Source organism: Homo sapiens, chromosome 14 (assembly GCF_000001405.40).
Source record: "Homo sapiens chromosome 14, GRCh38.p14 Primary Assembly".
Classification (NCBI taxonomy): domain Eukaryota; kingdom Metazoa; phylum Chordata; class Mammalia; order Primates; family Hominidae; genus Homo; species Homo sapiens.
The window spans coordinates 75,122,579-75,135,691 of record NC_000014.9 but is presented as its reverse complement, the minus strand read 5'-3'; the positions used below and the strand labels follow the sequence as shown (position 1 = coordinate 75,135,691).

General features: G+C 41.9%; 2 protein-coding genes across 6 annotated transcripts in view, besides 2 other annotated features; both read left to right on the top strand.

Annotated features, from left to right (window-relative positions):
* The window catches only part of TMED10 (transmembrane p24 trafficking protein 10), a 45,144-nt gene extending 40,921 nt beyond the window's left edge, over positions 1–4,223 (top strand). Inside the window, exon 5 of the mRNA NM_006827.6 lies at positions 686–4,223. Coding sequence (NP_006818.3) covers positions 686–807 — 122 coding nt within the window. The 3' untranslated portion in view covers positions 808–4,223. The remainder of the gene's footprint in view (positions 1–685) is intronic.
* The window catches only part of NEK9 (NIMA related kinase 9), a 47,850-nt gene continuing 43,226 nt past the window's right edge, over positions 8,490–13,113 (top strand). For 2 of the 5 annotated variants that reach the window (NM_001329238.2, XM_005268209.4), the window contains exons 1-2: positions 8,644–8,787; positions 11,469–11,646. In NM_001329238.2, the coding sequence (NP_001316167.1) occupies positions 11,604–11,646 (43 nt within the window). In that variant the 5' untranslated portion in view covers positions 8,644–8,787; positions 11,469–11,603. Of the gene's footprint in view, positions 8,571–8,643; positions 8,990–11,468; positions 11,647–13,113 lie in introns of those variants that run through there. The other 3 variants (NM_033116.6, NM_001329237.2, XM_047431919.1) reach the window with 2 other exon arrangements.
* Positions 8,591–8,720: an enhancer, noted in NCBI's record as "active region_8737". NCBI's record gives its function as "activates an Ori minimal core promoter by ATAC-STARR-seq in GM12878 lymphoblastoid cells {active_cell/tissue: GM12878}" and the evidence as "EXISTENCE:reporter gene assay evidence [ECO:0000049][PMID:35858748]".
* Positions 8,731–8,780: an enhancer, noted in NCBI's record as "active region_8736". NCBI's record gives its function as "activates an Ori minimal core promoter by ATAC-STARR-seq in GM12878 lymphoblastoid cells {active_cell/tissue: GM12878}" and the evidence as "EXISTENCE:reporter gene assay evidence [ECO:0000049][PMID:35858748]".

Sequence of the window (13,113 nt, the reverse complement as noted above, 5' to 3'; positions counted from 1 at the left end):
TGGTGTACCCTTTTCTCAGTTTTGCCAAGGTGGGTATATGGAGGGGAAATTGCTTGCTTCGCTGTTGTTGCTGCTAAAGGTAAATGAGCCTTGTTAGATTTTCAAGAGAGTAGAAACTCCTACTGTGATAGGCAGGTGACAACATCCTCAATTAGTCTATACCCACATCAAACTGATAGCACCAATCTTTGTAATTTTCAACATTTATATATAGGATAATGAACTTTTATTTTTATTTATTTACTTATTTTTGAGATGGAGTCTCGCTCTGTCGCTCAGGCTGGAGTACGGTGGTGCGATCTCGGCTCACTGCAACCTCCGCCTCCTGGGTTCAAGCAATTCTCCTGCCTCAGCCTCCCAAGTAGCTGGGACTATAGGCACAAGCCACCATGCCTGGCTAATTTTTCGTATTTTTAATAGAGACAGAGTTAGCCAGGATGGTCTCGATCTCCTGACTTCATGATCTGCCTGCCTCAGCCTCCCAGAGTGCTGGGATTACAGGCTGGGATTACACCATGCCCAGCCAGGATAATGAACTTAAAAAGAAAAATTATCTGAAATCCTACTGTTAGACCTAGGGACAGAGTGAAGTTAATTAATTGCCTTTACCCACCTCCCCTGCCATTGTTTAGCCAGCTGAGGAGGCTCACTTCATTATGTTTACAATGCTTTTGTTTTTTTTTAGAGTCAACAAACACTCGGGTCCTATACTTCAGCATCTTTTCAATGTTCTGTCTCATTGGACTAGCTACCTGGCAGGTCTTCTACCTGCGACGCTTCTTCAAGGCCAAGAAATTGATTGAGTAATGAATGAGGCATATTCTCCTCCCACCTTGTACCTCAGCCAGCAGAACATCGCTGGGACGTGCCTGGCCTAAGGCATCCTACCAACAGCACCATCAAGGCACGTTGGAGCTTTCTTGCCAGAACTGATCTCTTTTGGTGTGGGAGGACATGGGGTACCACCTACACCCAACAAGTCAATGAGGGACTTCTTTTTAATTTGGTAGGATTTTGACTGGTTTTGCAACAATAGGTCTATTATTAGAGTCACCTATGACAAAAAATAGGGGTTACCTAGATAATGCCAAAGTCAGCATTTGTCCTGGGTTCCCTTGTGTGATCTGTTTGGACTATGTTTTCTTTTCTTCTCCCACTTGCTCAGCAGCTTGGGCTTCCATTCTAGTTCTTTTACCAAGATTTTTGTGTGACCATGTTGACTTCATTTGGATTGCCCTCTTTCAATTTCCTTGTGAAAACACCCTTAACTTTCTCTTTACCCTTAGCTGAAATGTTTACATAGCTTCTGGTGATATCTTTTCATGATTTTATATCTCTTAAAATGGTGATGGATGTGACACCTCATAAAAGTGAGCTTTGAACTGTAGATAACTCTTAAAGAAAATGTCATTTTAGACAATTAAAATATTTGTGCTCAACTGCTTGAACTTTTTTCGTGTATGTGTATTTAATTCTATGCAATATTATCACATGTGTAGATTCATGTGACCACCATCACAAGAGACAGAACAGTTCTGTCACATGGATCCCTTGCACTGCCCTTTTACAGCCGCAGCCACATCCCTTTCTTATACCCTCACCCCAACCTGTGGCTACCACTGTTCTGTCCTCCATCTCTGTAATTTTGTCATTTCAAGAATGTTGTATGAATGGAATCATACAGAATGTAATCTTACGAGGCTGATCTTTTTTCATTCAGCATAATTCCCTTGAAATCCATCCAAGTTGTTGCATGTATGAATAGTTTCTTCCTTTTTTTCTTTTAAAAATGTTTTATATATTTAGGGGGTATAAGTACAGATTTCTTACATGCATATATTGCATCGTGGTGAAGTGGGGGCAGTTCCTTTTGATTGCTGAGTAGTATTCCATGGTATGGATGTACCACAGTTTGCTTAACCATTCACCCACTAAAGGACATAAGAGTTGTTTTCAGTTTTTTGCCCTAATAAAGCTGCTGTGAACATTCATGTACAGGTTTTTATGTGAACATACATTTTCATTTTCTGGGATAAATGCTCAAAAGGGCAACTGTTGGGTTGTATGGTAAACACATATATTTTTGTAAGAAACTACCCTACTCTTTTTCCAGAGTGGCTCTACTTTTTACATACAGCCACTCATACAATTCAGACAGCAATGTATGATTGATCCAGTTTCTTCACATCCTCACCAGCATTTGGTATTACTACTATTTTTTATCTTAACCATTCACATAGATGTGTGTAATGATACCACATGTGGTTTTAATTTGCATTTCCAATGGCTAATGATGTTGAGTATCTTTTTGTGTGCTAATTTGCCATCTATGTATCCTCTTCGGTGAAATGTCTTCATGTCTTTTGTCTATTTTCTATTTAGGTCATTTGTTCTTTTTACTATTGAGTTTTGAGAGGTTTTTTATATATCCTAGATAAAATTCCTCTGTTAGATATGTGGTTGCTTGAATTTTTAACATAACTTCTACCAAGGAAAAATAAGTAAAATTTCCAACCCTTGCATGGCCAGTCACTTACTTAATTCCTGTCCTTCAGTGTTCCATCTAGAGAATTAAGAGATATGATGTATAAAATAGACATCGAGGGCCATTAAGAGAGTAAATACTTAAAAATACATGTTATGAAAGCAAAGCCAATAATCACTGTAGGAGTATGAGTTGCCTAAGGGCCAAAACTAATGTAAATAAGAGAAAGTGTGGATATAAATGACCATTGTTTATAAACAGTTATGAAAAATGCTGTGACTTGAAATCTTTCCCACATCTCCCAAGAAAGTAGGTAGGAGTTTATCCTTTCCGTAATCTCTTTTTAACCCTGCTGACTATTACAGGGCTTGTTTAATCACAGTGGCAAGAATTACATGTATCTTACAGTAAAGAAACAGAATACTGGAATCGTTAGAGAACCCTGATGTGTTGACCTGGATAAAGTACAAAGGTGGAAGAGGGAATGAGTTATGCTGTTAAAATCTCAGGCTATTCTGTTAATGTTCCTGCTACTATGAACCCAAACTTTTTTTTTCCCCCTTTTGACTCCTTGTGTCTTCCTCTCCTGTGGCATAAAAGTAGTTCTGTCGTTAACTTGTACAACATTGCCATCTGCTGTTGAGAATTGGTAGGTACTGCTTCTGAGAACCTGGCTGCAGATCCTTAGCATAGGCAGCAAATGTTGAGAAAGTCTATCTGTAGTATTACATATACTAAGTTACAGAGGATGCATCCAAGTAGAGAAAATAATATGTGGGTTAAGATACATCCTTAAACTTTTTTTTTTTTGGGGGGGGGGGGACGGAGTCTTGCTGCAACGCCCAGGCTGGAGTGCAATGGCACTATCTCAGCTCGCTGCAACCTTCACCTCCTGGGTTCAAGCAATTCTCCTGCCTCAGCCTCCTGAGTAGCTGGGAATATAGGTGCACACCACCATGCCTGGCTAATTTTTGTATTTTCAGTAGAAGCAGAGTTTCACCATATTGGCCAGGTTGGTCTCGAACTCCTGACCTCAAGTGATCTGCCTGCCTCAGCCTCCCAAAGTGCTGGGATTACACGCGTGAGCCACCACACCCAGCCTCCATCTTTAAACTTTTAAATGTGAAATTTCTATCATGTACCGTTAGCCTAACAAGATTTTCTTTCCTATTTCTGACTGGTGCCTTTCCCCTTTTTAGGAGCAACGAAAGCTACTCTCTTAGTTATGTTCTTGTGATGTGACAAAATGTCAAGAAGATAGGAGAAGAGAATATTTTATTTCGTTGATGCTTTTGTTCCCAAGTGTGACCCTAAACTTAAGCTTTGTAGGAGTTGACATTCTTTCATGTCCCTTCCCTTTACTCATGCCGAAACTATCAACTGGGACATTTTGTGCTTTTGGTTTAAAAGTTAATTGATATTATACTTTGGTTTTATCTAAAAAGTAAATGTATTTGCCTTTGACAAAAGACTGACACAAGAGCAAATAAGCTTTAAAATCGGGTGTTATGTGCTTTCCTCCATTTTTGAGCATATTATCCAAAATGGTCTGTATAATATAAATGAGAATGATGCAGTTTAAGTAAGCCTTGTTATACCATTGTCATGGACCCCTGTCATAAAGCCATTTCTTGGTTTGTTTGGGAAAGAGGCATATGGGATTTATACAGATTCACTTGTAAATGTTGGATTGGGGATTTTTGTGTAAATTTTCTCAAATAAAGGCTAGCAGAAACCATTTTAGGTGTACTGTTACTCTTGAGTACTTCTATGTCTGGATTGGTGATAATTCTTCCATATTTCTCTTTTAAATTATGGCAAATTATACCTGATGAATTAGAGAAAAAATATTGTTATTCTTCAGTTACTGCAGATCGATAGTTTATATGAGCTAGTAAAAGATTATCATATTTTGTATGTAATATATGTAAATTATATATATATATATAATTAAGAATCCTTAATTATGCATCCTCAGACCAAATATGGTTCTGTAAGCTAGGCATTTTATTCTCTTTATCTTCTCTCTTTTGGAAACTGTTACTATTAGGTTCGCACAAAAGTAATTGTGGTTTTTGCAATTAAAATTGCAATTGCATAGAATCACTCCTACAGAGAGCCATCTCCCCTGCCTTTCATTCCTAAAAGACCCCCACCCCCCACCCCCGGTATATGAATCCTCAGGACTCACTTTTTAGGCCTATCATATCCAATGCAAAACCCCACTCCAGGAGGTAAACGTCTTTTCTCCTCTCCTTTCACTTACAGTTGAACATTTTTCACAAAGCGACTTTCCAAGAGCCAATATGAAGTGCTTTGCACACCCACTGGCTGGCCTCTTATTTATCCTCTTATCTCCATTCTCCCTCAAATAAATTTTATTATGAATCCATAGTGTGTAAAGTAGTGGTTCCCATTATTGGGGTATAATTTTTTTTTCTTTTCTTTTTTTTTTTTTTTGAGACGGAGTTCACTCTTGTTGCCCAGGCTGGAGTACAATGGCATGATCTCGGCTCACCACAACCTCCGCCTTCCGGGTTCAAGCAATTCTCCTGCCTCAGCCTCCCGAGTAGCTGGGATTACAGGCATGTACCAGCACGCCCAGCTAATTTTGTATTTTTAGTAGAGATGGAGTTTCATTATGTTGGCCAGGCTGGTCTTGAACTCCCAACCTCGTGATCCACCCACCTCAGCCTCCCAAAGTGCTGGGATTACAGGCGTGAGCCACCGTGCCCGGCCCAATACATGCTTTATAAATCATTTATTTAGTCTGCTGCAGTGGTGTCTCATAAAATGTTGAGCTGCATGTATAATTTTAAATTTTCTAGTATCACATTAAAGAAGTAAAAAACAGGTAAAATTTGCTGATTCTCCAGCCTCCCGAGTAGCTGGGATTACAGGCACATGCCACCACGCCCAGGTAATTTTTGTATTTTTAGTAGAGATGGGGTTTCACCATGTTGGCCAGGATGGTCTCGAACTCCTGACCTCGTGGTCTGCTCACCTTGGCCTCCCAAAGTGCTGGAATTATAGGCATCAGCCACTGTGCCCAGCCGAAAATTATTTTTAGTAGTGTATTTAACCTAATATACCCAAAATATTATTTCAACATATAGTTAATATAAAAATGGTTAATGAGATGTTTTGCATTCCATTTTTCATATAAAATCTTGAAAATCCAGTGTGCATTTCAAGCTATACCGCATCTATAGCTTAAAATTAGACTAGCCACAATTCAAGTGTTGAGTAGCTATATGTAGCTAATGGCTACCGTGGCAGACAGTGAAGGGTATAAACTTGGGTTGGTCTTTGGTAGATTCTTTCATCTTGACAGTAACTCTATGGCCCCTGGGAATTTGCCATTCACAAATTGGAAACTAATGCAAAATAGCATTCTAACCATTCACTTGTTAAAGTACAATGTGGAAATAGTTTGGTTTCAACCAAAGGCGCTTTAAAATTTTACACCTTGGCCAGGTGCAGTGGCTCACACCTGTAATCCCAACACTTTAGCAGGCCAATCACTTGAGGTCAGGAGTTCGAGAACCAGCCTGGCCAACATGGCAGAATGCCCTCTCTACTAAAAATACAAAAATTAGCTGGGCATGGTGGCGGACGCTTGTAATCCCAGCTACTCAGGAGACTGAGGCATGAGAATCACTTGAACTTGGGAGGTGGAGGCTGCAGTGTGCTGAGATCATGCCACTGCACTCCATCCTGAGTGACAGAGTGAGACTGTCTCCAAAAAAAAAAAAAAAGTTATACCATTAGAATAAATGTTGACTATTTTTGAACTTATAAATATTCAAAGGTAAGACAATTAGTTTCAGTTATATCCAATATAATGAAGAATTCAGCAGGAATGTCTCTGCTCTATAATAGGACATGTTTCTTCTAGGCTTGTAGTATCTATGCATTATCATTAGAACAATTCAGTTTCAGGCCAACCACGTTATAGAAAACTAGTTCCTCGTTGCAAAGGTGCCAGAAAAAAATGAATTTTTAAGCTTAGGCTGAAATCTATTCAGCCTCTTTGAAAGTCAGCATTCCCAATTTTAAGTAATTGGTTTTTTCCCATTCAACTGAGAAACAATTTATTGAGCATCTTTTCTGTTTAACAGAGTTAATCGAGAATAACAGAATTAAGTTAATAGAATTAACAGATTTAAGCCAAACTAAACTCTGGAGTTTATCTAGATAAACAAGAGGCAATACCTATCCTCAAAGTGCCTTCTAATTAATAGGAGGATGTAGATGGAATGGCCTCTACCTGAAATGATCTCTCTACTTTGTTTAGACTTAACATTTTGTATATTCCTGCACTCACACAGCAAGTTTGGCTTGGACAGATGCCACTCCTAAATGCCTCTCTAGAATCTTGCACTTTAATAGCCCTTATAGAAACTGTTTTAATTGCCTGGTGGTTTTCTGTTACATGTAAGCTCTCTTAAAGTAGGAACTTTTCACAAATCGATATGACACAATGTATTTTTATGTATTTGAGACAGGTTCTCACTCTGTTGCCCAGGCTCGAGTGCAGTGGCATGATCTTGGCTCACCGCAACCTCCGCCTCCCCAGTTCAAGCAATTCTTGTGCCTCAGCGTCCCAAGTAGCTGGGATTACAGGTGTGTGCACGCCTGGCTAATTTTTGTATTTTTAGTGGACACGGGGTTTCACCATGTTGGCCAGGCTGAACTCGAACTCCAGGCTTCAAGTGATCGGCCCTCCCAAAGTGCTGGGATTACAAGTGTGAGCCACCACGCCCGGCTAGGCACATGGCTTTCTCTTAGCCCCATCACATCCTGCTTTTTCAGATTGCTGGGTTCAACTTCCCAGCTCCCTCTTACTAGGTCTGTCACATTAAGCAGGTTACTTAGGTACCTCTGTTTCTGTAAAATGGGAATGTTAGGATAATACATAATACATAATACATAGGATAATACATAATAATGTGAGATAATACGTAAAAAACCTTTAGCATAGTACCCAGAACATAACACTCAATAAATGTTAGCTGTTATGTCTGTGATGTAGACCACATTCTCACAACAAAACAAGCTTGGAGATGAGAAGTTGCCCAAGGTCACATAATTGCCCAAGGTCACATAACTGATGGAACACCTATTGTTCACCGTATTGCTGTTTTCCTACTTGACGGTAGGGAGAACATTATTGCAGATTTCCTGTTCCCAAACAGTGTGTGGCACCAAGTGCTCAAAGAATGTTTCATGATATCATATGGTCAAATATCTGGAAAAACACATAGAATAAATTGAATCTGGAAAAAGAGACGGGGGAGAAGGAAAGTGTCAGGAGAGTTGACTTAAAATATTTTTGGAGTTGTGTAGAAGAGGGAGGGACTTAGGATGGCCCTGGGAGAAAGAACTCGGCCCAGGGACCGAGATGACCGGAGGCAGACATTTAGGCTGTCTATATTATTATTATTTTTTTTTTTTTTGAGACAAAGTCTCGCTCTGTTATCCAGGCTGGAGTGTAGTGCGCGATCTCGGCTCGCTGCAACCTCCTCCTTCCGGGTTCAAGTGATTCACCTGCCTCAGCCTCTGGAGTAGCTGGGATTACAGGTGCCTGCCACCACGCCTGGCTAATTTTTGTATTTTATAGAGACGGGGTTTCACCAGTTGGTCAGGCTGGTCTCAAACGCCTGACCTCAGGTGATCCGCCCGCCTCGGCTTCCTAACATGCTGAGATTACAGGCGTGAGCCACCTTGCCCGGCCATATTATCTTTACTATACTATCTCTCTAAAAAAGAATGCTGTCCAACGTTGGAATGGGGAAGAAGGTGTACACTGGGAATGCTTCCCCAATCACCCTCTTGTCACAGACCTGACGTCAAGATGAGACTGGACGACCTCTGGGCCTCCAAGTTGTATGAGTCCGGACCGGGGAGGCAGAGAAGGGTCAATAGACCCGAGAGGCCGTACCGTCAGTGATGCCCTTGTTCCCGTGGGAGCCCTTCGGTTCCACGCGGTTCCCACCACGCGCCCGCCAACCCTAGCCCGAGGCCTCACTTTGCAGGCCTTCCCCGAAAGCGGGAAGCCTTGGCCGCTAGACTAGCCAAGAGGGTAAGCAAAGGCGGAGGAAACTCAGCCAGGCCGGAAACACAGAGAACTGTTTCCGGGTCGGGGGGCAGGAGCCACCATCGAGCTTCGCGGGGTTGCTGGGCTGACGGATCCGCGGGCCGGCATCTGAAGCGAGCGGGACGCAGCGCGGCCAGGGCCTCCGGGCATACGCAGGCTGGTCCCCAAGGCCCGCGGCCGCCGCCATGTCGGTGCTGGGCGAGTACGAGCGACACTGCGATTCCATCAACTCGGACTTTGGGAGCGAGTCCGGGGGTTGCGGGGACTCGAGTCCGGGGCCTAGCGCCAGTCAGGGGCCGCGAGCCGGCGGCGGCGCGGCGGAGCAGGAGGAACTGCACTACATCCCCATCCGCGTCCTGGGCCGCGGCGCCTTCGGGGAAGCCACGCTGTACCGCCGCACCGAGGTAGCGGCCCTCGGCGCCGGCCGCCCTGTCTGGCGCTGTCGGGTCGCCCCGAGTCCCTCCTTCTCGGCCCCGCTTTCCCAGCGTCGTGAGCTTAGTGCTTTAGGCGCCCACGGGGTATATGTCTTAGGGTCTTCACCACTCTTCCCACTCACCGGCACTAGAAATTGGCTAGATCATTGGTTTGACTAGTCATTTTTGATTGTCCTAAGTCACCTAACCGTCTCTTGAGCTTTAGTTTCCCCATCTGTAAAATGGGCTTACTGATAATACCTTGAAATCATCTTTTTCTTTTTTTTTTAAGATTATCTTGAGAATCAAACGAAGGCTCTGTTCTGTAAATTAAAGTGGTATACGAATGTGAGGTATTGCCAAAACTTCCTTCCTCTCATGCTGTATATATAGTTCTCCAAGGTCGGGGTGAGGAGGAGGGGCATAGCTTCAAAATCCCCACACCCGTGGCAACTCCGTTATTTTTGTCATTATCTTTAAGTTCAGCAGTGATCACTCAGTTGGAAGCTTTTCTTGAAGCTCATTGGGAAGATCTTTGTGTGTTGGTTCTTTATCAGTGTTTATCTTGCAGGGTTTATGCATGGGAAATACTTTGTTGGTATATTCTAAGCCATTAGTTCTTAATTTGGGGGGCACAAGGACCCCTTTGATAACCTAAGCAAAGTAATCTTGCCCCCTCCATCAACACATTTGCACATATGCACATCCTTTGGAGAGATCCATGGATCACGGAATCCCAAGTTAATATATACTAGTGTAAAACCCTGCAGTGATTATTCTACTTCCAAAAACTAACGATACACTAGATTTGATCATAAAATCTTACTTTAGGGTAAACATTTAATGAGAACTTGCTGGGGTTGCTGAAGGTGATTCATCCGTCGGAAATCCATCTGCAGTTCTGGTGTGTGTTCCAAGCCAGCATACTTTTAAGGCTGAAAGATGGAGAAGGAGAGAAGTGGTTGCAAGAGAATATTTTTAAGTGTTCTTTTTTATCCTGATGCCACGTTAATGTATGATGTTAGAGTTAGTTATTCTTAGTAGTCTGTTTTCTTTTTTGCACTCAAAATGAGAAAGAGGAGATAAGGATTGTTATTTCTATATTTTAGTTAGAGAAACTAAAACAGTATACTTAAGTGACTTGCTCACTTAAGTTACAAGTAAATCTTGGACTAGAACTAAAGTCTCACATCTTGCCCATTGCCTTTTTATTATTATCCTGTTGAACTTGATTACTGGGTTGGTTTTGAGTTAAATTTGATTACACTTCCCAAAAATTGCATAGCGTTGTCCATATCACCAAATATTTATTAGATCTGTGAATTTACAAAAGTTCAGAAGCACTCTTTTTCTCTAGAAGCTTATATTTCAGTAGGAAAATAAGTTGACCATTGTTAGTAAACAAATAGCATTAAGTTGCATATGTAGAGATATGAAAAGAATGAACAAATATCATTTCAGTGTATGGGGTCTAAAAATTAAAGACATGGTTACAGTAAAAGCTTCATCAGAGTCTTTTCAAAAACACTGTAAAGGCTTGGCAGAGGCATTCAAAAGGATGGGGAGGGTTACATAGGTGGAGATGCTCCTGGGCTAGGAAGCAGGGTCAGCAAAGAATGAGGCGAGGCACAGTGGCTCATGCCTATAATCCCAACACCTGGGAGGCCAAGGTGGTCGGGTCGCTTGAGGCCAGGAGTTCTAGACCAGCCTGGGCAACACAGTGATACCCCATCTCTTAAAAAAAAAAAAAAAAAATTTAGCTGAGTGTGGCAGTGCGTGCCTGTAGTCCCAACTACTGGGGAAGCTGAGGTGGGAGGATTGCTTCAGCCCAGGAGTTCAAAGCTGAAATGAGCTATGACTGCACTCTAGTTTGGGCAACAGAGTGAGACCCTATCTCTTAAAAAAAAAAAAAAAAAAAGATAGTAGACATCAGGAGCTACAGGATACATAAAAGTATGAGAGGAGATTATAGAGTTGCAAAAGGGGTCATGACTTCTCTTATCCAGAAAGGGTAGGTGAAAATCACTAGGGAAGTCTAAATTTATAAAACTAGAGGCAAGTTTAGTATTTTCATTTTAGAAGCTGGGACCAGCTATAGATAATTGCTCCCCAGTTCTCTGCTTCTCCAGTATTCTTGCCCTGCCATAATCACCATCATGATTAGCAGTCTGTCATAGTATCCTCAATAGAATCTTTTTGAGATCTATCCCCAGCCCATATTTTTACCTGGAACTGACATCATGCAAATTAAGTATGACAACAACGTTTTAATGCTTTACTTCCCCTGTCCTGCAATAAATTATAATGCTAAATTGTACACATAACCTTTAAAGTCTGTTAAAAGGAAAAAATAAGAGGAGTCAGTCTGTGCCCCTCTAGGAAGTTTTCCTTCTAGGCTTACAGATCTAGGTGTGGATTCATTTGCTGCCAGGCAAGAGGAAAAGCACGATACCTCTGTTACTGTGTTTAGGATGACTCACTGGTTGTGTGGAAGGAAGTCGATTTGACCCGGCTGTCTGAGAAGGAACGTCGTGATGCCTTGAATGAGATTGTTATTCTGGCACTGCTGCAGCACGACAACATTATTGCCTACTACAATCACTTCATGGACAATACCACGCTGCTGATTGAGCTGGAATATTGTAATGGTAAGATAGAGTTCAGTGGGACTTTTCCAGCAAGACTTTCTTAGACTCATAATTACGTTGAGGAGAAGAATATAAGAAGAGACATATACAGTGATAAAAACTTTAAATGAATTTCTAGAGTTTAAGAGAAACTTTTCAGGCCTTGGAGAATTTTTGAAGTGGTGTACGAAATAAGGAGAGGGATTTTCCCCTGCATACCCAAATTTTCTCTTGTGATTACAGTTCCATTTTCAAACTATCTTTTCTTTGGTTGGATTTTACCTTTATTTTTCAAGGTTTTTCTTTATGAAATGACATTAGTTAACCAGAGTGTGGCTTGGCAGCACTTGATACAGTATTTAATAAGATCTTATAGGTGATATTTATTTATATTGTCTTCAGCTAAAGCTATCCTATTGAAAAGTGGTCCAAAGATCATAACTGAGTGAAAGTAATATATAGTAAAGCATGGCCCTATTTATCTGGTCCCTGATTTCTTCACATCATTTTGCTTGTAAGATAGCAATATAGCCTAGTTGTTAAGAAAATAGACTCTAAAACCAAGTTTCTCTACTTTCTAGCTCTATAACCTTGGCAAGAAACTTAACTTCTCTGTGCCTCAGTTTCCTCATTTTATTTTTATTATTATTATTATTTTTTTTGAGATGGAGTTTTACTCTTGTTGGAGTAAAGGCTGGAGTGCAATGGTGCCATCTTGGCTCACCACAACCTCCGCCTCCTGGGTTCAAGCAATTCTCCTGCCTCAGCCTCCCAAGTAGCTGGGATTACAGGCATGCGCCACCACGCCCAGCTAATTTTTGTATTTTTAGTAGAGACAGGGTTTTGCCACGTTGGCCAGACTGGTCTCGAACTCCTGACCTTAGGTGATCCGCCCACCTCCGCCTCCCAAAGTGCTGGGATTACAGGCTTAAGCCACCATGCCCAGCAGTTTTGTCATTTTAAAATGAGTTTGTTGGCCAGGGACAGTGCACACCTGTAATCCCAGCGCTTTGAGAAGCCAAGACAAGCAGATCACTTGAGCATAGGAGTTTGAGGAAAGCCTAGGCAACATAGTGAAACCCTGTCACTACCAAAAATACAAAAAATTAGCTGGGTGGTGTGCACCTGTAGTCACAGCTACTTGGGAGGCTGAGGAGGGAGGATGGCTTGAGACTGGGAGGCAGAGGTTGCAGTGAGCTTGTGAGCTCAGACCGCTGCACTCCAGCCTGGGCGATGGAGCCAGACCCTGTCTCAAAAAAAAAAAAAAAAAAAAAAAAGCTGGGCGTGGTGGCTCACGCCTGTAATCCCAACACTTTGGGAGGATCACAAGGTCAGGAGATCGAGACCATCCTGGCCAACATGGTTAAACCCAGTCTCTACTAAAAATAACAAAAATTAGCTGTGCATGGTGGCGCGTGCCTGTAATCCCAGCTACTCGGGAGGCTGAGGCAGGAGAATCGCTTGAACCAGGGAGTTGGAGGTTGCAGT